The following is a 25,116-nucleotide window of genomic DNA, read 5'->3' on the forward strand; positions in this document are numbered from 1 at the left end:
ATGCTTCTTTCCCCTCCCATGGCAAGGGGAATACCGAATGATGACAACTCACATGTGTAACCCAAGGGCTTTGCTACAGTTTACTGAGGACTAGTGCACGATACATTCTTTGAGTGTTATAATAACATTAAGTCAATGCACGAATTATAATCCCTATTTCACAAGTACAAAAACACATTCAAAGAAATTAAATTCCTTGCTCACCAAACAGTTATTGACAAAAAATACAACATTTATGTTTCTTTTGAAAAATATTATAAAGATTCTCAAATTGTCTAACCAATCATATTATCCGTAGTTGTCTCTTCTCAAGCTGCTAATAAAGACATACCCAAGACTGGGACATTTATAAAGGAAAAAGGTTTAATTGACTCACAGTTCGGCATGGCTGTGGAGGCCTCAGGAAACTTACAATCATGGCAGAAGGGGAAGCAAATATGTCCTTCACATGGCGGCAGCAAAGAGAGGTGGGAAAAAGGAGGGAAAAGCCCCTTATAAAACCATCAGATCTCATGAAAACTCACTTACTATCAGGAGAACAGCGTGGAGGTAACTGTTCCCATGATAAAATCACCTTCTACCAGGTCCCTCCCATGTCAGGTGGGGATTATGGGAACTACAGTTCAAGATGAGATTTGGGTGGAGACGTAGCCAAACATATCGTTATCTTGATAAGATATTGCTTTGGATTGAATTGTGTCCCTGCAAAAATCTTATGTATAAAAGTTCTGATCCCTCATGTGACTGTTTCTGAAGACAGGCAGGGCCTTTAGTTGGCACTTAAGGTCAAATTAGGTCATATGGGTGGGACCTCAGTCTACTAGGATTGGTGGCTTTATACTGAAAGAAAGAGACAGATGTCTCTCCCCTTGACCTCACATGTATAAAGGCCACATAAGGAAAAAGCAGCCCAAGCCGGTAAGAGGCCCCAACAGACGCCAAACCCTTCCAGCTTCATGATCTTGGACTTCCCTGCCCCCAAAACTGTAACAGAATGAAATTCTGCTGCTTATGCCATCCAGTCTGTGGCATTTAGTTACGCCAGCCTGCACTGGCTAATGCAGATATTCAGAATCAAATGAGTCATCCCAAGCAATTTCTTAGTATATACAGCACAGATTTCACCTTCTAAACTCACCCTTGTCTTTGCCTTTTTTTTTTTTTTCTTTTTTTTTTGAGACGGAGTCTCACTCTGTTGCCCAGACTGGAGTGCAGTGGCGCGATCTCGGCTCACTGCAAGCTCCGCCTCCCGGGTTCACGCCATTCTCCTGCCTGAGCGTCCCGAGTAGCTGGGACTACAGGCGCCCGCCACCACGCCTGACTAGTTTTTTTTTTTTTTTTTTTTAATATTTATATTTTTAGTAGAGATGGGGTTTCACCGTGTTAGCCAGGATGGTCTCAATCTGCTGACCTCGTGATCCGCACGCCTCAGCCTCCCAAAGTGCTGGGACTACAGGCATGAACCACCACGCCTGGCCAGTTTTTCTTAATTATTAAATAATCTTTCATTGATTTAAGAAATATTTTCATATGGTTCCTATTCAGGCCCAGGCATTGTTTTTTTGTGCTGCAGACAATGTGTTAATAAAAGCTGTCCAGCCTTGTTTGTACATCATGATATTTATATTTGACAAATCCTCTACTTAGATATGTATCACCTCCATAATTTTTTGAAACACATAAATTTTTTGAACCAAATGGAATAAAGAGCTAGATATATATGTATAATGAATATATTTGAAACTTTGTACTTTGCTTTACAATTTGCAAAAGAACATCATATACAGTGTTGTATTTGAGTCTCCTTTAAGCCCTATTAAGAAGAAATTTTTCTAGTTCTGCTGTTCAGTGAAGAAAATGAGCAAAAAAAGGTGCAGCAACTTCCCAATATCCCATATTTACAAACATAAAGGAGTGGGACTTTAATGTAGACTCTTGGTGTCCAAGTTTGTGCTCTTTATGCTTCATGGCACCAGGTAAAGTGCAGTGAGCACAGCGAATGTGCCCCCTCAGGAGCCAGCTAAGACCTTCTGGGGGCTTCTCCTGGAAGTACAGAGTCTGTGACCCCCATCCTAAATACACAAGCATTGGCATCACTGTCTCACAGTAAAACAAAACAAAACAAAACAAACAAAAAAAAACAAAGAAAAAAACAAATACAATCTGTTCAGCAGAGTAATTGTACATAACACAAAAGAACTTCTGGGAAAAACACGGAACGCATATTGAAATCAGAGGCTCAGTCATGTGAAAATAAAAGGTCTTGTTGGGTGCCTAAGTCTTGTCTTTGCTAACAGCTGTTTTCGTGCAATACCAGTAAACCCAGCCAAAGGCATTCTAGTGAGCGACTACAAGAAGACTCCTATACACTTCAATTTTCCAGCAATCCATAAAATTGAAACATAAAAATAGGATTCTATTTCTCTTGTTCATTCTATATCTTACCAGTACTTATATTTGCATATGTATAGAAACTCAAGGTTTACAAAGCATATTCACGGTCTTTATTTTATTTGATGCTCCACGAAATGTTGCAAGGGACTCAAACAAAGTCCTGTTTGTACTATGTTACAGGTGAGAATGCTGACATGTAGAGGGGCAAGTACTTACCTGATCACGTTGTCTTGGCATGATGAAGCCTCACTTAAACCCATGATCTCATGTCTTCCCTTAAACTGATGCACTGAAATACAGTCAGGTAAAATAAAGAGTTAGGGGCACATTTTAAAATACATTTAAGGTGCATCAAAGATTTAAACCAATCACTTGTAACATCTCTATTTGTCAAACTCATTGGTGATCATTAGCATTTAGAGAGACCCAGGACAATTGCAAGATTCTAAATAATTTTCAAACCATAGTAGAGGATACTTTGTTTACTGTTATTTATGTATTAAATATCTTTTAATATACTATAGCTTTATAAGAACAGATAATCCATTTTTGGAATAAATTTGTGTTTTAATTGGCCAAAGAGTTAAATCCATTTTTTCTAGATCCTCTGGATAATTAGGAATTGGTAGTAAAAGGCAATTTCACTTTTCCAATAAAATAATATGCTCAGTTGTTCAAACCCACATTCTTGATAAAAACAACTAGAAATTCTGGATAAGATAGAAGAAAAAGAAGATTTTGGTGCAACAAAGATCATACAAGATGGTAAGGAATTACAAGACCAAAATCTAAGTGATGTCTTGATCTCAGAAAAGAAAGCTAAATGTTGAATTCCCTTTGGCCCTTGGAGAATTCATGAAAGCCGTGAATTTGAGCTTCAGTTTTTCAGTCTCTGTGGAGTGATATGGAAGAAGGAAAAAATCTCAAGTCCCCAGCAACACGCATGTGATCATAGAAGACTTTCCCCCTATGAAACAAGACCTCCAAAGAGCTATAATTTCACAATAAGCATAAACCAAAAGTAAACCCAGACTACCCAACTCCTGCTTCCATGTGTCGGCAAGAAAGTGTTCGCTGGTGCTGAACAAAGCGTGGGGAAAATGCTGCTGTTGCATAAATTACAATCTCAAAAACTCAAGCTATAAATTTAGTTTAAAACAGTTCCCAATACCTAATAGAAACAAATGTGCAGTTCCTCCTCATCCTGAAAGAATCTCCACAATAATATTCCAAGGAAAATAATGCACTCACAGCATATGTATGTATCACCTATTATGATGTATATAGCTGGTAGATAAGTACATATGTATCATATATATATATATACATATAACCATTACAGAGAACTAGAAGAAATAGTGGAGAAAGAAAAAGTTCTACAAAGACCCTAGATTTAAAAATAATCAGAGAAAAATTTTGTAAAACAACTCTTCTCATAACGTCCAAAGCTAGAACACACTTGAAATAATCTCAGCAAAAAAAAGCTGTCAAATATGCAGCCATAAAAAAGGATGAGTTCATGTCCTTTGTAGGGACATAGATGAAGCTGGAAACCACCATTCTCAGCAAACTATCGCAAGGACAGAAAACCAAACACCGCATGTTCTCACTCATAGGTGGGTACTGAACAATGAGAACACTTGGACACAGAAAGGGGAACATCACACACCAGGGCCTGTCGTTGGGTAGGGGGACGGGGGAGGGATACCATTAGGAGATATACCTAATGTAAATGACAAGTTAATGGGTGCAGCACGACAACATGGCACAGGTATACATATGTAACAAATCTGCACGTTGTGCACATGTACCCTAGAACTTAAAGTATAATAATAATAATAATAACAATAATAATAAAAGAAAGCTGTTAAAAATGACCAGCATGGAATCTCTCTTCCCCACTGTCAGACAACATTTCGGTGGTCCCTGTAACTATTGCTCTGGTCCTGAATAAAATCTTTCTCGCCATGCTTGAAAAAAAAAAACAGAATTGCAAAATATGCCTCTGACAAAGGACTAATATCAAGAATCTACAAGGACCTCAAAGAATCCAAGAAGAGAAAAATAAACAACCCCATTAAAAACTGGGCAAAGGACATGAACAGACATTTTTCAAAAAAAAAATGCAAGCAGCCAACAAACACATGAAAAAATGCTCAGAATCACTAATCATTAAAGAAATGCTCATTAAAACCACAATGAGATATCATCTTATATCAGTCAGAATGGCTGTTATTAAAAAGTTGAAAAAAGCAAAAAACAGAGGTTGACTTGGATGCAGAGCAAAGAGAGAACGTTTATACACTATTGGTGGGAATATAAATTAGTTCAAGCTCTATGGAAAACAGTATGAAGATATCTCACAGAACTGAAAACAGAACTACCATTTGACCCAGAAATATTCATAATTGGACACCTACCCAAAGGAGAACAAATCATTATAGGACAATACCATGACAATAGCAAAGTCATGGAACCAACCTAAGTCTAACCTATGGGTCCATCAATAATTGATTGGATAAAGAAAATGTGATATATATATACACCATGTAATACTACACCACCATAAAAAAGAATGAAATCATGTCCTTTGAAGCAACATGGATGGAGGTGGAGACCATTATTCTGAGTGAATTAACTCAGAAACAGAAAATAAAATACTGCATGTTCTCACCTACAAGTGGAAGCTAAACAATTGGTACACATGGGCATAAAGATGGAAATAATAGAAACTGAGGTTTCCCAAAGGGGAGAGGATGTGAGTGTTGAAAAACTACCTATTAGGTACAATATTCATTATTTGGGTAATGGGTGAACTAGAAGCCCAATCCCCACCAGTATGCAATATACCCATTTACCAAACATTCACATGGACCCATTGAATCTAAAATAAAATAAATATTTTTTAAATGACTGGAATGTGTGAAAAAGGAAACAAAGAACATTTCTAAAAGAGAAAGATGCAAAAAATAGATTTTTAAATGCAAGGGCTGTTCACTATTTTGTAGTAGCTAAAGTAGGTATTAGTGAATCCAAAGATCAGTCAGAAGAAATTATGCAGAATGCATCACAGCAAAACAGAGGCAGTGAGACATTTTACCATGTTTTTACGTGGATTCCTAAACAAAGAGGAGAAAGAACATAGAACAGAGACAATGTTTGTAAGTAATATTTTAAGATAATGACTGATTCCCTACATCAAAAGAAAGCCAACGGGAAGTTCCTAAATCTATAGAGGGTACACAAACATAAAACTACACTTGAACATGTCATGGTGAGTTGGACAAACCAAAAACAATAGTAAAACCAAAGAACAACCACGAACATGCATAAATCCACAAGGTAGTGAATAAAACAGCTTACTTTCAAGGCAGCAGAATGGCATTGACCACTAACTACTCAACAGAAATGATGAAAGATGGATGCCAGAAGAATGAGATCACCAAAGTGCTAATAAAAAATAATTGCCAACCTAGAATTTCTAGGACCCACTTTTTAAGAGTAGGATGAAATGCAGACATTCTTGGGCAAACAAAAAAAGAGAGTTTATCTGCAGCATATCCTCAGAAAAGGATGTAATTAAATCAGAGAAAAAGATGAAGATCAAGAAGGTAGGAAACATGCAAAAATCATGACAAATAGTTTTTGCCATTAAGAAAAAGAAGAAACTAATTAATTCCACAAAACAAGTCAAGAATAACTCGTGAATTAGAGGGAGCAGAAATGGAGTTGCCATCTTCAAAGGCACTCGTTTTCAGGAGATGTATACAATTTTTGGAAAAACTTGTATTTGAAAAGTTAAGTATGCATTTTGCAATTTTCAGAGAGTGAAAGAATAGCAACAAAATACTTATAAACTAGGAAAGGAAAAATCTTGAATAAGAAAATAATCTATACCAAAAAAGCCACATTTAAGTACTATGTTTATTTTGTTAAATTAATTTAAATTTTAAAAATTTATCTTCACTCTATGCAATAATATTTGTGAAATTTTGACTCTGGTGTGTAAATTAACTTGTTTACTGCATTGAATCCTTTGTCATTTTTGTAATACTTTGATTATCTCCGTCTAAATATTCAAACATCACCTCTTAACATAACCAGTGGTACACCTTCCATGATTTAGATATGGTGATCTGACTAGCGTTGAAACTTGAGAGAAGCTAGCCTCAATAACAGGACCCAGGGATAACCATCTAGTTCTCCAGCGAAGGGCCTTAAGCCCTCTGGGGGTCCACATTGTTGGTTACTCACTAATCAAAGATGTGCCCCACCCCTAGTTTTCTCCTCCCTGACTCAAGTTCATGTCATTCAACTCTCTGCCTGGTTCACGGGCTCATGGTATTCTGCCCTACTCCTGCTGCTTGGCTATCCACCAGTTACCAATAGCTGAAGTTGATGCAACCACATGAAATTTCTACAAGACCCTCCCCTCTTTGGGCTCCCATCACATTGTCACTACTGCCAGATGTCATCAGCGTGAGAGAATCAGTGGTGGTCCACAGGAGCATCTTGTTGTCCCTCCCTAAATGATACCAGCACCACTCTCCTCCCAAAATCAATGCTCCCAACCACAACACCCCCCTTGGCTTCACTTCTGTTCCCAGCAAGCCATCAAAACTAGCACCAAGGCTCTCTCTAGGAGGCTATAAATATATATGTTTTCCTTTTTTCTGTCTTTAAATGGTGAGTTAACACAAACAGACCTACATACACCAGACCCCAAGGTATCAATCTGGATCCCTTCACAGGATCCTTTGAAATTTTCCATTCACAGAACCGAGAAAAAAAAGCAAACTCTGAAGCCCAGCCCTTCCCTCCTCTATTCCGGAGCAGGCAGCTGATGGGATGCAAATGGGGCTGCTGAGCTTCAGGGTGGAAATGGAAGCCAGTGCGTTGTGCTCCTTGTGATGTGAAACCTGTTGCAGCTGCGCAGAGAAACGAGAGTTTTCACTGGACACAGTGCAAGGAGCAAGCAGGGTGCCTTTCATGGACAGAAGCTGCATCTGTCTATACTTCAGCCATTCAATCAACAAACATTTCATGATCATCAGTTACTGCTATGAAAGGTAGATGCTGAGGGTAAAACAAGGAACAAGAAGAGAATGCCCCACTCCCATATGGCACATGTAAAAGCATAAAAGTCTATCTGAATCATTTTTGAAACAGAAGGCCCATGACATTGCCTGCTGAGTCCACATTGGCTCTTGTTTGTGGATACCAGCACATATTAAAATTATCTGAAATATTCAGTTGTGAGCCCCCTCCCCTGATATGGTTAGGCTTCGTGTCCCCACCCAGATCTCATCTTGAATTGTAATCCCCATAATCCCCATAATCCCTATTTGTCAAAGGAGAGACCAGGTGGAGGTAATTGAATCATGCGGATGGTTTTCCCCATGCTGTTCTCATGATAGTGAGTGAGTTCTCACAAGCTCGGATGGTTTTATAAGGGGCTTCTTCCCCTTTGCTTAGCACTTCTCCTTTCTGCCACCTTGTGTAGAAGGTGCCTTGCTTCCCCTTCACCTTCCACCATGATTGTAAGTTTCCTGAGGCCTCCCCAGCCATGCTGAACTGTGAGTCAATTAAACCTCTTTCTTTTATAAATTAAGCAAGTCTCAGGCAGTTCTTTATTGCAGTATGAAAATGGACTAGTACAGTGAGAAAAAAATAGCTCTGGAGGGCTGGGTTACATTCAGGACATGTACTAAATGTTTTAATGCGTTTTTTTAGCAAGCACGTAAAATGTCTCCCCCAAGGCTTTAAGCTCTCTTTCTACTTCCCTAAAAGTTTCCCCATCAAAATAGGAAATAAATATTGAAGCTAGAAAAGGCTTGTCCCCTTCAAAGTAAGTAAGCGCATGCTTCATGACAGGCATATCTTTCTTCAGACAGTTGGGGAGGACCCTTAATTCTTTCACCTAAGAAAAAAAAAGTTACAAAACAGCAACCTATGAAAACAAAAACATGGAATCAATGCATCTCCTGAAATAACTTCTCTGTGGTCCTGAGGGTGGTGTTTTGTTTGGCTTGTTCTCCTTCCCACCTTTTTATACCCCCCAAGGATCCTCCTCATTCTGTTGTAGCCAGGGCTCCTAGAGAAGGCTGTCAACATTGAAGGGCCCAGATCCCTTCTACCAGTTTTTCTTGTGCTTCCTATGTGCTTGTAACTGTGAATCTCCTGCTTTTCAAACAACTCTTCTGCCTTTTGTATGGGTATACATTAAAGGGGAAAATCAGGGCCTCTTCACACTACTCTGGCAAAATCAACCTGAACTGCTAGATTATAGGTCTTGGCATCTGGAGCTGCCTGCTTGAGCCCTGGCAGGTCTGGAGGCTTGGGGCTCTTTCATTGACTCAGGAAATATTTCTGCTTCCCACCCAGGACTTCTGTTGTCTCTTCCTCCCTTCTCCTCCCCTGCTCTCAGGACTCTTAGATGTAGCCCAGGTTTGCTTCCACACAGTTGACATTGGCGGTGCACGGTCTTCTCCCCTCTGCGCCCTCAGATCTCCACGCCTGTGCCTATGACACGTGCCACCTGCACCTGTGTTGCCAAGCCTGGCTCCTCATCCGTGGCCACTCCTGCCCCCACAACCTGCCAGTTCTGCCTCCTTTTTGCCTGCCTCCTGCCTATCTTTACTTCACTGATTTCTTTGGCTGGAAAATATTTCCACAACTTCCCCTCCCACACTCACCTGGGGCTATGACATTGTTGTGGGCACTGGTTGGGCCTCTCCCCTGCCACCTAACAAGGACATCCTACAGGCCCAGGAGGGCATTATCTGTGGTTTTGAATTTCTAGTGTCTCGAACTGTACTGGCCCAGAGAGGACCTCAAATATGGAAAACTGAAGTGATTGCTTTCTGCACGCGTTATCTATGCACCCATGCATAACTCACACAAACTTACTGAATCTTCATTTACTCTTCTGTAAAAGGGGAGTAATCAAAGAAATGCACTTTACTAACAACAAGAGGGTAGCATAGTTTGTCTTTTAAACTGATAAAGATGTTCTGAAATAATAATCTATGTTTTCAAGGGTACAGGACTTTGGTAGTTACACCATGACAGTAAAGATGCATATTTTAGGAACTTGGTGGAGGATAATTTGACAGTACACATCTACATGTTTACATTGTACATACCCTTTGACTGACACTCCACTGTTAGAAATTTGTACTAAGGAAATAATCAGACCTACAACATAAGCACTTAGCTATAGGAATACTGGTCAAAGAATTGTTGATCATACTCAAAAATTAGAAACAATCTAAATATGCAATAAGAAAATATTTAAAATAAATTGTATCGCATTCATCTGATGTAATATTATACAGACATTTAGAAAGCTCTTGTAGTCAAAGGATAAGTAGGTTACCTTTGGCATATACAATGAGTAAAACTGATACTAAGTTGATATACCCATTGTGATATAATTCTCTTTGGTTCTTAAATATTTTTATATACCTAAGGAAAAAGATTAAAAGCTTATGAAACCAAAATATTCACAGTTTGGTTATCACAGTCTAGTGTGATTATGGGTAGTTTTAATTGTTTTAATTTCATATTTTTCTGTTCAAATTTCCATTGCTTGTTTAACTAAAAAAAACTTTTAAATAATATTATAAAATGACCATCACAGAAAAAAATATCATTAGGCAATATTGCCATGACTATAGACCTTTCTCCCTACAACTGTTGTTTCTAAATGCCATGAAGGAATTTAAACTCTCAAGCTATTTCTGGCCTGGGCAGTGCTGAGCTATATCTTACTCTCTGTAGGAGGATGAGTGTGTGAGCTCCGTGGTATTTAGGAACCCAGATATCATTCATTTGCAGCCTCTCCATCAGCACGAAGGCCACGTTTGCACTGTGACAGGAATTTCAAATATGAGTTATTTCTTATTACTTGTGTATTGGGTTTCAAAAATGCACAAGCTTCCCACGGCATGCATTTAAAGAACCTCTTTCAAGATATCTTGCACCCAAAAAGGATCAGGAGCTCAAAATGCCCATTAATAAAGAGAAACTATCCATATCCATGACACTTTCAGGCTTAAAATACTTTTCACATAAATGTAAAGACAAAATTAAAAATTAATGTCTATTCAAATTGAATGTAGTAACTCTGTCCACAGAAGGACGTGGACAGGCCACACTCAGAAGAGGCTTAGTTCTCCAGTAGGATGCGGAGCTCCCAGTCTCAGTGACCTCACAGGCCATGGGCTCCACTGTGTGGCACATCTGTCCCACACCAACTCCCTGTTTTCCTGACAAGGAAGCTAAAGTTTTGAATGAGTCCAAAATCACATAGAGAGGAATCAGGAGGATGTCCTTCTGTCTCCAAAACCATGCTCACTCTAAAGATGGGGAAATTAAATTAGAGCATGCATTAGTAAAATGTATTGAATATTACTGGCAATAATTACCCATTTCCATCCCTCGAAGAAAGCCATGTCTCATCCATATGCAAAACTGACACCATTAGGAGAAAAACGTGATTAAGCCAAATTATACTATGGGATGATTGTCATGATACATAACCAAGTACCTCTGCATCATCAATGCCAATCTCAGGGCAGGGAGCCATGAGGCTACACACAGGGCAAGTCCCACAGTGGAAACCCCCTTGATAACCCCTATCATTGAATCCTACCCCAAACTACCCCTGCAAGACTCTGCTTGCCTCCTGTCCCTGTACCCACCTCCAAATTCTTCCCATTGCCCTGGCCAGCACTGAGCTTCTTTGCAGTTCTTCCTCAGCCCTGCACCCTTCAGGCTGGATCTTTCCTTCCTCTACTTCTTTCCTTCCTGAGGCTCCAAAGAGCCCTTGTTACAATATTAGATACTAATAGCAATGTCTGAGGGAAGCCACATGTATGGCATGCCACAATAGAGAAAATAAATTGAGATAATAAACTTAGGCCAGACGTGGTGACTCACGCCTGTAATCCCAGCACTTTGGGAGGCCGAGGCGGGAGGATCACGAGGTCACGAGATCGAGACCATCCTGGCTAACACAGTGAAACCCTGTCTTTACTAAAAATACAAAAAATTAGCCAGGCGTGGTGGAGGCTGCCTGTAGTCCCAGCTCCTCGGGAGGCTGGGGCGGGAAAATGGCGTGAATCTGGGAGGGGGAGCTTGCAGTGAACGGAGATCACGCCACTGCACTCCAGCCTGGGCGACAGAGCAAGACTCCATCTCAAAATAATCACAATCATAATCATAAAGTTAAAGCAACAGAAATCTCTAAATACCCTTAAAAATCATAAAATCAGTGCACTAAGTTGCATATTTTGCTTTTTAGGAAGTGCCTCAAACCCTTATTTGGAAACTATATATTTTTACTTTAAATGCAATGTTTTAGGTCCTCATTTTCCCCTTTAATGTTTAACGTAATTGCATTGAACCTTATAGTCTTGTTGTGAAAAAAAAAGCAATTCTTTACCTTTCTTTTGTCTGTAATACATATGATGTGTATACGAATTTTTATAGATAGCTGGATCTGAAATTTTGTGAGGCAATACTATTTAAATAGTTGTGCTAAAATCTTTCTACAGATTTCCTTTCTTTACAAATTTTACTTCAGTTAATTCTCATAGTATTATTTCATACTATATAAAAAATCATATACATATATTTCATATTACATATTCAAATACACATATGTATATGCTATTGGGGAGTGTGTATAAAATAAAAAATATAAAAATTACTCCCGGTAGTATTTCTTATTTAATAGCATATATAAATGCATTTTTCCTATTTATATTTTTTCTTTATATTTAAATTATCATTTTTTGTTGCTGAGATAACTGGCTACCCATATACAGATTAAAACTGAACCCCTTCAGGCCGGACGTGGTGGCTCACACCTGTAATCCCAGCACTTTGGGAGGCCAAGGTGGATGGATCACAAGGTCAGGAGATGGAGACCATCCTGGCTAACACGTTGAAACCCTGTCTCTACTAAAAATACAAAAAATTAGCCAGGCATGGTGGCGGGTGCCTGTAATCCCAGCTACTTGGGAGGCTGAGGCAGGAGAATGGCATGAACCCGGGAGGCAGAGCTTGCAGTGAGCCGAGATAACGCCACTGCACTCCAGCCTGGGTGACACAGTGAGACTCCATCTCAAAAAAAAAAGAAAAAACTGAACCCCTTCCTTACACAATATACAAAAACTAATTCAAGTTGAATTAGAGACTTAAATGTAAAACCCAAAACTATGAATACCCTAGAAGACAATCTAGGCAATACCATTCAGGACATAGGCATGAGCAAAGATTTCATGATGAAGACACCAAAAGCAATTGCAGCAAAAGAAAAAATTGACAAATAAGACCTAATTAAACTAAAGAGCTTCTGCACAGCAAAAGAAGCTATCAACAGAGTAAACAGACAACTTACAGAATGGGAGAAAATATTTATACACTGTGTATCCATCAAAAGTCTATTATACAGCATCTATAAAGAACTTAAACAATTTTACAAGAAATCAAACAACCCCATTAAAATGCAAGCAAAGGACATGAAAAGACACTTTTCAAAAAAAGACATACATGTGGCCAACAATCAGGTGACAAAAAGCGCAACGTCACTGATCATTAGAGAACAGCAGGTCAAAACCACAGTGAGATATACCATCTCACACCAGTCAGAATGGCTATTACTAAAAAGTCAAAAAAATAACAGATGCTGGCAAGGCTGTGGAGAAAAAGGAATGCTTATATACTGTTGGTAGGAGTGTAAATTAATTCAACATAAAATTATGTCTTGTTACATGGGCTACAGAGTAAGTGTTGTGTTAGTAGGCAGGAAAACAACATCAGCGCCCTTGCACATCTACGTTTTAGACCAGGTGCACTGTCAATGAGCAGTAACGTTTTGGAAGGAATCTATTTCTCAGAGCAGCAGGTGTCAACAGTGGGCTTATAATATTCAGTAAACTATGCTGTAAACAGATGTGCTGTCATATAGGCTTTTTGTTCCATTTACAGAGGACAAGCAGAGTTGATTTAGCATAATTCTTAAGGAACCCTAGGGTTTTCAGAATGTTAAATGAGCCTCGGTTTCAACTTACAGTCACCAGATGCATTAGCCCCTAACAAAAGAGTCAGCCTGTCCTTTGAAGATTTGAAGCCTTGTATTGACTTCTCCTCTCTAGCTACTAAAGACTTAGATGTTATCTTCTTCCAAAAGTCGACTGTTTCATCGACACTGAAAATCTGTTGTTTATGTAGCCACCTTCACCAATTATCTTATGTAGATCTCCTGGATAACTTGCCACAGCTTCTGCATTAGCACTTGCTATTTCACCTTGCACTTTTATGTTCTGGGAACAGATTCATTCCTTAAACCTCAAGAAGCAACCTCTGCTAGCTTCGAACATTTCTTCTGTGGCTTCCTCACCTCTTTCAGCCTTCATAGAATTGAAGAAAGATAGGGCCTTGCTCTGGATTAGGCTTTGGTTTAAGGGACATGTGTTAGGCCATTGCTGTAAAGAAATACTTGACGATAGGAAATTTATGAAGAAAAGAGATTTAATTGGCTCATGGTTCTGCAGGCTGTACAGGAAGCATAACACTGGCACCTGCTTCTAGGGAGGTGTCAGAAAGCTTATATTTATGGCAGAAGCTGAATGGGGACTAGGCTGGTCACATAGAGCAGAAGCAAGAGAGTGGCATGGGAGGTGTCATATAAACAACAAGATCTCATAAGAAGTCACTATCACCAAGGAGAGCGCCAATGGGATGGTGCTGAACCATTCGTGAGAAATCTGCTCCCATGATCCAGTCACCTCCTCCCAGGCCCCACCTCCGACACTGGGGATTACAATATTCAACATGAGACTGCATCTTCAACATGAGGCTGGGGCAGGGACACACACCCAAACTATAACAGGAAGGCTGAGGCTTGTTTGATCTTCCATCCAGGACACTAGAACTTGCTTCATGTCAGCAATGAGGCTGTTTCACTTTCTGATCGTTCCTGTGTTCACTGGAGTAACATTCTTAGTTCCCCCAAGAATTTTTTTCCTTTGCAGCCAGGTGCAGAAGCACATGCCTGTAGTCCAGGCTACTTGGGAGGCTGAGGAGGGAGGATCACTTGAGCCCAGGAATTTTAGGCCGGCCTGGACAACATGGCAAGACTCTATCTCAAAAACAAAAAAAAAAGTAACTTTTTCTTTTTATTCAAAACTTGGCTATTTGCCACAAGAGGCCTAGCCTTTGCTCTCTCGGATTTCAACATGGCTTCCTCACTAACCTCATCATTTCTAGCTTTTGATTTAAAGTGAGAGACATGCGACTCTTCCTTTCACTTGAAGACTTAGAGGCAACTATAGAATATCAATTGGACTGATTTTAGTATTGCTGTGTTTCAACAAATAGGGAGGCCCAAGGGAAGGGAGGGAAATGGGGGAACAGCCTGTAAGTGGACCAGTCACAATGCACAGATTTATCAATTACACTTGCTGAATGTCACCTGCATAGTTTGTTGTGCCCCAAAACAATAACAATAATAACATCAAAGATCACTGATCACAGATATGCTATGACAGACACGATCATAATGAAAGAGCTGGAAATATTGCAAGAATTACCAAAATTTGACACAGAGACAAGAAGTGAGTCCATGCTTTTAGAAAACTGGTGAGAATAGACTTGCTCGAAACAGGGTTGCCACAAACCTCCAATTTGTAAAAAGAAAAAAAAAATGCAGTATCTACAATACACAATAAAGTGAAGCACACTAGAACAAGGTATTCCTGTAAGAACTGAAATCTGTAGTTTACATGAGGGTTAACTCTTTTTGTATTACATTCCATGGATTCTGACAAACAGGTAATGTCCATTATTATAGTACCACCGAGACAACTTACTGCCCCACAAACCTTCTGTGCTCCATCTCTTCCTCCCTCCTTCTCCCCTACTCCCTGGTAACCATACATCTTTCTAGTGTCTCTAGCCTCTTCCAGAACATCCTATAGTTGGAATCATACAGTGGGTAGCCTTTTCAGATTGGTTTCTTTCACTTCGTACAATGCATTTAAGAGTCCCCATGTCTTTTGGCGGTTTGCTAGTTCATTTATTTTTATCACCGAATACTATTCCATGGTGTGGATGTGCCACAGTTTGTCTATCCATTTACCTATTGAAGGGCATCATGGTTGTTTTCAATTTGGGGCAATTATAAATAAAGCTGCTATAAACATTCATGCACAGGTTTTTGTATGAACAAAATAATTCAGCTCCTTTGGGTAAATACACAGGAGTGATGGAAAGGTAGAGCATAAGGGATTTTTAGTACAGTGAAACTATTGTATCATATTGTAATGGTGCATACCTGACATTTTGCATTTGTCAAAACCCACAGAATGTACTGTACAACACAGAGGGAATCCTATCAGAAACTATGTTACATTCGTAATAATGTGACGATATTGGTTTATCAATTGCAACAAATGTGCCACAGCAACGCAAGGAGAAACCATGTCTTGAGAAGGATATGGGAACTCTCTGTGCTACTATTCCATTTTTCTATAAGTTCTATAAACTTAAAGCTGCTCTAAAAATAGGGTCTATTAATTTTAGAAACTCGTATGTGAAGTTGCTAGTCCAAGAAACTCAAATATGCGAACTTTTCTTGTAACTGATGCCAATAATAGATTCTGTCCATCCTCATCATTAATGATTCCCAAAATGTACACCTGATAGAAGAATCAGGCTGAAGCAAAACCATGAGAAAGCTTCGCTGAGATACTCTCTTCCTTTTGACAGTCCCTTAGTTCTAAAAACTTTGGTGACTTTGATAATGTCCCTCCTTTCTCTTTTACTGCAATTGATTTAATTGCTAAAAATAAAATATTCCAACATTTATAAAAAACCTACCAAGTACCAAAGACTGTTAGGTGATTTACGTATGTTATCTCTGACTCTTATGACAACATTTCAAATTCAGTGACGTTACCACCACTTGACAGGTTGAGAAACTGAACCAAAGAAATTGAGGACTGTGCCCAGGGTTATGTTGCTAGCAGAGGACAATTGAAGAAAGTAAGCCCAACTCTGATTACGAAACCTTCCTAATATCTCCACAAAACCTAAGGACCCAATGCCTTTCAGCCTTATCTCAAATGGCATTATTTGATTTAGGAGCCAGTGAGCATATAAATATGAAAAATACCACAAAGCTAGCATGTCTTGTTCATAAAGCCATAGAAACTAGAGAGCAAACTTCTCATGTTATACTTATGGAAAACCCAGAAATATTAGTTATGTGGGTTGTCCAACACTCCGAAGGTGCCCGGGAGGACAAGCAAGATGGGAGCTCAATTTCCTTGATACTAAACCCGTTGTTTTTCCCATGAAGTAACTGGCCTCTCTAGAGACCTCACCATCACCACAATCATCTTTCAGGTTTACAGTGAGCTACCTAGTCAGGCTTGAACTTTCATTTGGTTCCACATTTAAAAATAATGTTTTACATCCCTCTAAAGCAACCACCTCTTCTGAAATAACAGAAAAAGAGAAAGGATTTGCAGACCATTCTTTAGAGACCATAAATTTCCACTGAAGTATTAACACAATCTATTAGGTCATATTATAGTCAATTGTGCAGAAGAAGAAAACCTATTCAACAACATTATTTAATGGCATTTTGATGTGCTATTTGCTAGACACAATGATGAATGCAAGGATTGAGCAATAAAGTGGTATGGAAAGCAAACAGCTCTCCTGTGAGGTTTACTTCCCAGGTGTAAATGAGCTCAGTGCTCACAAATGATTTGCCTTGACATTGGAATCCAACTGGAGTCTGGAATTACTGTAACTGTTTTCGGCTTGGGTGATTTAATCAGCAAATCTTCAATAGTGTACTATGCATGTACTGAACTGATTCCAGACTGCGCAGCCTGATTTATACACACTACTTGCAGACAACCATTTGTGGGAGGCTCACTAGCAACTGTTCGCCTGCCTCTTTATAAGGCAGATGCCCGTGGTAATGTGTCAGAACAATTGAAGTCTATGCTTTATATCTGTAAACCCAAACAAAGAGACATACAAGGAGTTGCTTCGAGGGACAGGATTTTTGTTGGTGGTGGTGTTTTATGAGTTTTAAATAAATCTAAAATCATTCATTCACTTATTTAACAAATATTTCTGTGCACTTACTCTATGATCAAGCATTGTGATAGGCCCACAGAAGTAAGGGCAGAAGGCAGAGAAAATGAGAGGGAGTTAAGAAGTGGCTCCTCCAAGCATAGAATAAAAGTGTCAGGTCATATCAATCAGTTGAACACAATCCAAAAAAGAGAAGCCTCAAAACATTAGGACCCCTGATCACCACTGGAATGTGGGTTTCTCACATCTGTGTGGTGGTAGGAGGCATTCAAAATATTCACGGAGATTTATTTTTCTCTGGTCACTGTGTTTTTTGTTTTTTAATTTTATTTTACTTTAAACTCTGGGATACATGTGCAGAATGTGCAGGTTTGTTACACAGGGATACATGTGCCATGGTGGTTTGCTGCACCTATGAGGGTTGCTGTATTTTATACTCACTGCTCCCAACCCTGCTTTTCATGCTATTTGGTAGATGAAATGCCCCACTCCCAGCCTCCTAGAAGAGATATATCAGGGTCCACAAAAGGACACAGCCTGTCAGGCCCCTTCTGGCTTTGAGTTCTGAGGTCCTAATGCCCTAGAGAAACATAGGAGACAGGAGACAAAATGTTTCAGGAAACGGGGTTTGACAAGAGTGGCTTTCTCTTTTCTCCTGATCATGCTACATGCCCACTGTTAGGAAGATTCTCTAAGGTTTAGAAAGGGAAGAGAAAAGGTGGGAGTGGAGTTATGGACAGTGGAAGATCCTGTGCCTCGATTTCTAGCAGAAACCCCGCAGATGCACCAAAGCCAAGACAGGGATTAACTCGAAATTGGATCGCAGGAGACGGGGCTTTGGACAGCGTTAACAAGATGTTCGTGCTTTGGTGTTGCACAGAGAGGCAGGAAGATCCCACTTGTGTGGCACCAGGTATAGGAGAGAGTGACCATCCCTGGGGGCATAAGGGGAAACACAGAGGCAATCGCTGGTGGCTGACAGCAGGACTGAGTGTAATCATGATGGTCTCAGCGGACATGACTTGTCAGCTTAAGTGACTTCAGGACTGGATACATCTTCCCCCAATGTCTTACAACATTTGCCCATAGACCCAGCCATAGGGAAAAAGAGGATCCTAAATATCTGAGATTAAATTTATGCCAGCTTAGTTAAATGGAAAACTCAAAACAAAAATTACCTTGAATTATGGAAAAGCAAGAAGAAATTTGTATTTCTTGGAGCATCTCTGTTATGGAGTGAGACAAAAAGCTATTACACCTGACGGGTAAGTTTTAGGGAACTCCAAAAAATTAAAGTTTCAAGTCTTTTTTCCATCCCAAAATTGAAGAAAAAAAAAGATATCGTTAAAAAAAAATCCCTTCTGTAAAAAAATTTTGAGAAGTATCCTCCCTATCCCTTTAAACAGCTCAAAAAAAGGAAAACAGCAGTGGAAACAATTTCAGATAGAATCAGAGTTTTGGAAGAGGATGTCATCCTGAAAAGTGCTTGGCTTTGCAGACTCCTATCGATGGAACCAGCCCCGGGCCTTTCCCTGACCAGCTGCCCACATAACCCACTGCAGGTGGCTGTGTCCTCACTGTGATGCAGCTGGGCAGTGAGCTTTGCCCTGAAAAGGTCCTATGTGGACCCAGACCCCCTCCACGTGCTCCACCCACTCCTCTGAGGACACCTGTGGGCAGAGGCTCACAGGAGTCAGGGGCCTCTCTCTGTACAGGAACTCCAGCATCACTCAGGATTCTTACATTACAGAAACAGAACCAGCGGGCTAATAGAGACAGACACGGTGGGGGAACTTATTTTTAAAGGAATTGGCTCACATGACTGTGGGGTCAGCCAGTCTGAAAAGTACAGGGCAGGCTGGAGACCCAGGGAAGAGCTGTTACCATCAAGGGCACCTGAAGGCAGAGTCCCCTCTTCTCCAGGGACCTCAGTCTTTTCCTTTCAATGCCTTCAAATGATGGGAGGCTCATCTGCTTTACCCAGAGTCCACTGATTTAAATGTTAATTACATCTGAAAAATGCCTTCCCAGCCACATTTAGTCTGGTGTTTGACCAAACATCTAGAAACCATGGCCTAGCCAAGTTGAAGCCATGCAATGAGGCACCGTGGCGTGGAGACAGAGCTGGAGCCCCTGCTGCTGCTCTTTGTCACAGCCACAGCAACACTCACTATCCCCATGCTCTACTTCCTCTCTAGACCCTCCTCCCCCTGCTCAGCCCTGCCTGCTGGCCTCAGTGACTCACCTCCCTCCTCACACCCTCATCAGCCTCCAGCCACACCCCTTCTCAGACCAGGGTTACTCTCTGTCCGCAGTTAGGATCCCATTTAGCGAGGGAGCATCATGGGGTGCCCAGGTAGATCCCTAGGAGTACAAGGGTCTCCTTCTGTCCCCACCCTAAAGCCCTGTGAGCCACATTTGCAAGAGACCCTTCAACCAACAGCCCTGGCCTACGGAGGAGAGAGTCCCCCCACACTTGCAGCAATGCTAGTGCCACTCGCTCCTGGAAACTGATGGTCCTGGGCCTTCCCATGGAGCAGAAGGATGCACAACCTTCCTGCCATGCAGTCCAGTGTCGTGCTCCCAAAGATTAATTCTAAATGACAGTAATGGTGGTAGTGGTCATAATGATGATAATGGGGGTGATGAAGAATAAAGAAATTAGTTCCCATTCAGGTGAGACATGGTGGCTCATGCCTGTAATACCAGCACTTTGAGAAGCCAAGGAGGGAGATCACTTGAGGTCAGGAGTTCGAGACCAGCCTGGCCAAAATGGTGAAACCCTGTCTCCACTAAAAATACAAAAATTAGCCGGGCGTGGTGGTGTGTTCCTGTAGTCCTAGCTACTTGGGAGGCTGAGGCAAGGGAATCACTTAAAACCGGGAAGTGGAGGTTGCAGTGAGCTGAGATTATACCGTGGCACTCCAGCTTGGGTGGCAGAGTAAGAGTCCATTTGAAGAGAAAGAAGGAAAGAAAGAAAGAAAGAGAGAAAGAGAAAGAAAAGGAAGAAAGAAAGGAAGAAAGAAAGAAGGAAGGAAGGAAGGAAGGAAGGAAAGAAAGAAAGAAAGAAAGAAAGAAAGAAAGAAGGAAGGAAAGAAAGAGAAAGAAAGGAGGGAGAGAAGGAGGGAGGGAAAGAAGGAAGGAAGGAAAAGAAAGAGAGAAAGAAAGAAAGAAAGGAAAGAAAGAAAGGAAAAGAAAAGAAAAGAAAAGAAAAGAAAAGAAAAGAAAAGAAAGAAAGTTAGTTCCCATTCAGGTATATTTGTTTGCTTCCAAAATTCAAGAATTAACTAGAATAAGCATACTGAGGCCTGACACAGATGTAAGGCCATACACAGGCCTTACTTTCCACTTTGAAGGAAAGTACGTTATTTTCATTAAAGCCAGTTTGTCAGATAACCTCAGGTATGTGAAATTTAACTCCAGTTTACTCACCAAAAAAGAGACGTCAAGTAAATGCAATAGGAACAATATAAAATGACTGTGACCTCTTTCTGGAAGATCACATGTTAACGTGTAGACAATTTTATCCAACAACTTTGATATTCTTTAAACCTAAATGTTTCTTTATGAAGAGAGCCTTGACACAGACCTGGAGCTATCTGGGGAGCCCACAGAACCCTCAAGAGCTGACAACAGTCAACATAAGCTACGCAATGATGTTGTCATAAAACCCGTGGTAAATTTTGATAGCAATGATAAAAGATTATTCCAAATCTTCTACCCTTACGTAGTAATTAGTATTAAAGGGTTTCCTAGGTTGGTAGGTTTTTTCTGTGGTAGATTTAATTTACAGATGGTTTGCTAAAACGAAAAGCAGACATACATTGAAAATCTATAAATGCATTTGTATGTAATGAATTGAAGCTGCTCCTAATTAGTAAAGGAAGAAAAACGCAGAAGGCGGAAGGATTTCTTTGGCCTTGGACAAAAGCATCTGAATCCATTTTACTTCCTTTAATATGCATGTGCCATGCTTTCAGAGCTCTTTGCAAGGGTTGATATCAGAGCTGTGGATTGGAGGTTCTGCACCTCCCCGGGATTATACCTGTTTGTGTCCTTGACAGCTACTGGAAAATCATACAGTCCTGCAAATCCCATGAAAGAGGAATTTAAACACGTGTGCTATTAGGAGCAGCCGTTTTGTTAGAACACCACCAAGAAAATCTTTTTTTTTCTTCCTGTGTCCCCATTTACAAAGAGGCAAATGATTAAATTTGCTTCACCGAATTAAACTTATCCAGCTTCCTGCTGGGTGCCGGGGAGCGTTTCTGGAATACCACCTGCAGGGCAGCTGCTCTTTTCTACATGGCCTGAATATCACTAAATGGCATCAGACTCCTGACATGCTGTTGGAAATTGTGGCTTGCCACAGGGCTACTCTGGGTTGTGGGGAAACGGCAAAGGCATAACAGCCACTTTCTGGGCCGACACAAACACCCCCAGTGGTTTGGTAGAAAAGCCAGTGAGGAATCCAGTGAAAAACCTGCCATGAGGATGACTTTGAAAGGAAAGAAAGAGAGAGGGAGGGAGAGAAAGAGGGAGGAAAGAAGAGAGAGAGGTGAGAGAAGGAAGAAAGGAAGAAGGAAAGGAGGGAAAAGGGCGGGGAAAAGGGAGGAAGGGAGGGACGGAGGGAAGGATGAGAAATCGACCCATTCTTCTCTTGCTCTGAAGGTCACATGAAGTGGTAGTCCCTATTTATATGTGAATATACCTGATTTCATCTTTTTTTTTTTTTTTTTTTTTTTGAGACGGAGTGTCACTTTGTAGCCCAGGCTGGAGTGCAGTGGCATGATCTCGGCTCACTGCAACCTCCACCTCCTGGGTTCACACCATTCTCCTTCCTCAGCCTCCCGAGTAGTTGGGACTACAGGTGCCCGCCACCACGCCCAGATAATTTTTTTGTGTTTTTAGTAGAAACAGGGTTTCACCGTGTTAGCCAGGATGGTCTCGATCTCCTGACCTCGTGATCCACCCACCTCGGCCTCCCAAAGTGCTGGGATTACAGGCATGAGCCACTGCACCCAGCCTTGATTTCATCTTATGGTAATACTTCGAGATGCCATCAAAGTATCCAACGAGTGGAAAATGTGTTGTAAATATCCCATTTGTGTTTATCTTCATTCAATATTCAGCTCCCCTAGGAGTCCTGTGTGTATTTCAGCATCCCAGCCTCACTGGCGATCTATGCGTATGTTTCTATGGGAACAGAGGCCTTGGTTTTAAGTCCAACACAAATCTCTGGCATGATGGTGGGCCATGAGCTCCCTGCCCACAGGATGCTGTGATTTTAGTTTAGCATAATGCTGACCATACACACTTACAGCCGAGAGTATGGAAGAAGACCACACATCAGAATCTCACAGAATCTCATAACATGTTACAATTATCCATTTGCTATCTCATAATCTCAGTTAATGAAGATCCTTGTTAGTAAGACCTTCAATTTACCAGGGGGAGAAATGGCTGCACTTGAATTGCAATAGAACAGAAGGGCTATAAATAAGCAAGTGCATGCTAGGACGTGGTAAGAAAAAAAAACAGCAAACCGATCTAAGGCAAGAAAACCACCAAGGTTCTCAGTACTAACGACTGCATTCACCCTAAAATAGTCGACAGTGTGATTGATGGTCAAAATTCCATACCCTTAGGATATTAAAATGCACTCAATCATTAAGAACAGAAAAATGTGTACTTACATTCACTGTGCTATAATTATCAGCAAAATACACTAAATAGGTAATACCTAAAATGTATGTAATAAGAGGATTGTTCAGGTCCTGCTAATTTTTAGTTTTATTAACATTTATATTTCATTCATTGTGGCAGTCACAAAACCATATTCCATAAATGTGAAATGATCAAGGGGTGAGAGGGTAATTGCACCAGGAACTGATGCAGGAAAACCAGGGCACAGTCATTACTGTCCATGAATTTACTTTAGACCAGGAGACAAATTTAAATATTTACTGATATTTGACAACATGACTCCTTTGATTTTGTAAAATATTAAGTGCAGATGATTCTTACCTAGTACTGAATAAAGAGCACCCAGGGGCCTCCTTAAATTGAAAATAATACTCTTTCCACCTTCCCCATCTGTTGAAATCCTACTCATCATTCAAAGCCAAGATCAAATATCATTTGCTTTTTGAAGCTTTTCTTGGCCTCCTAGTCAGCACGAATCACTGCCTTCCTTGTCTTCCCCAGCAGGTTGTTACGAACCTTCCTATGCAAACACTCCCACCATAGGACAGATACACTTAGCCATCTGCATCCCGACTCTCCTAGATTGTGAAATCCTTGCAGATGAGAACCAAACTTTTTGAAAATGCTGCTCTTCCTTCATCTACTAGACAGCATCCTGAATTTGGTAGATATTCAATAAACTTTTGTTAAAATGAGTTTTCATATGGGCTCTGGAGCCAGGAAAATTTGAAATTGAGTCAGGCTTTACCACATGTTAGCTGTGTGACATTAGTAAAGTGACTCAACTCCTCTGAGTCTTAGTTTCCTTATCATTAAAGTAGAATTTCTAATCCTGACTCTATTAGGTTACCACGAGGACTAAGGGAGGTAAATGAAAAAAACCTCATATGTATTAGGCTTAAGAACTTCTTCCTTTTCCTTTCTCTTTACTTTTGTCTCAAGGTGGTACAGTTTAGGAAGATCTCCATGTCCATTGACACCTGCTACCATAAAGAAATCAACAGGTTCATCTTCTGAAGGAATTGCAGTCTCTTTCTCTCTTTCTTTCTCTTTCCCTCCCTCCCTCCCTCCCTTCCTTCCTTCCTTCCTTCCTTCCTTCCTTCCTTCCTTCCTTTCTTTGACAGGGTCTCACTCTCTTCCCCAGGCTAGAGTGCAGTGGTGTAATCACAATCCCAGCTGACTGCAGCCTCAATCTCGTGAGTTCAAGCAATCTTTCCACCTCAGCCTCCTGAGTAGCTGCGACTACAAGCATCCACACCACCACACAGGGATAATTTCTTTCTTTCTTTTTTTTTTTTTTTTTGGTAGAAACAGGGTTTCGCTATGTTACCCAGGTCAATCTCAGACTTCTGGGCTCAAGCAATATGCTCACCTCAGTTTCTCAAAGTGCTAAGATTATAGGTGTGAGCCACTGCACCTGGACTGTTTTTGTTTGTTTGTTTGTTTGTTAATGGAAGTTTTTCTTTTATATAAAGTCAGGGAAGTTGAAAAGAGTTTACATTACCATAAAAGAAATTTCTCGGCCAGTTTTAAGGAATCACTCTTCTTCCATGGCCTCTACGATTCTCACCTATGACAAAATATAGAGACAGGCGCAGCCTATCTCAAGAATATTGGACTTCACAGTAGAGGCACAGTGGTCTAAAACAAACATCTAAATAGTCCTGATTGTAACAAAAAGGGAAGACTGGATGGGCAAGTGAGGTTTGAAAGGTGATTTCTGTTCACACTGAGTTGTGAGGCTTTCTCTGCTCTCCACTGACCCAGCAGATTTACCCAGAATCACCAATATAATAACTCTGCATTTCTGTTCCTTTCTAGAGAATTCAACCTAAACGCTCTGCTTATGTAAAAATAGTGCGAGGTACACCCTCCACCAAGGAGTCCCTATAA

General features: G+C 40.5%; 1 long non-coding RNA gene across 1 annotated transcript in view, besides 2 other annotated features; it reads right to left on the minus strand.

The window, feature by feature from the left end:
• The window catches only part of LINC01248 (long intergenic non-protein coding RNA 1248), a 56,978-nt gene that overhangs the window by 13,088 nt on the left and 18,774 nt on the right, over window positions 1-25,116 (minus strand). The window contains exon 3 of the long non-coding RNA NR_110580.1: window positions 2,611-2,683. This is a non-coding gene — a long non-coding RNA (long intergenic non-protein coding RNA 1248). The remainder of the gene's footprint in view (window positions 1-2,610; window positions 2,684-25,116) is intronic.
• Window positions 8,431-8,932: an enhancer, noted in NCBI's record as "H3K4me1 hESC enhancer chr2:5795791-5796292 (GRCh37/hg19 assembly coordinates)". NCBI's record gives its function as "activates a minimal SCP1, AML or CMV promoter by ChIP-STARR-seq in naive H9 embryonic stem cells {active_cell/tissue: H9 hESC(naive)}" and the evidence as "EXISTENCE:reporter gene assay evidence [ECO:0000049][PMID:30033119]".
• Window positions 8,933-9,432: an enhancer, noted in NCBI's record as "H3K4me1 hESC enhancer chr2:5796293-5796792 (GRCh37/hg19 assembly coordinates)". NCBI's record gives its function as "activates a minimal SCP1, AML or CMV promoter by ChIP-STARR-seq in naive H9 embryonic stem cells {active_cell/tissue: H9 hESC(naive)}" and the evidence as "EXISTENCE:reporter gene assay evidence [ECO:0000049][PMID:30033119]".

The sequence above is a fragment of the Homo sapiens genome, chromosome 2, assembly GCF_000001405.40.
Source record: "Homo sapiens chromosome 2, GRCh38.p14 Primary Assembly".
Lineage (NCBI taxonomy): Eukaryota > Metazoa > Chordata > Mammalia > Primates > Hominidae > Homo > Homo sapiens.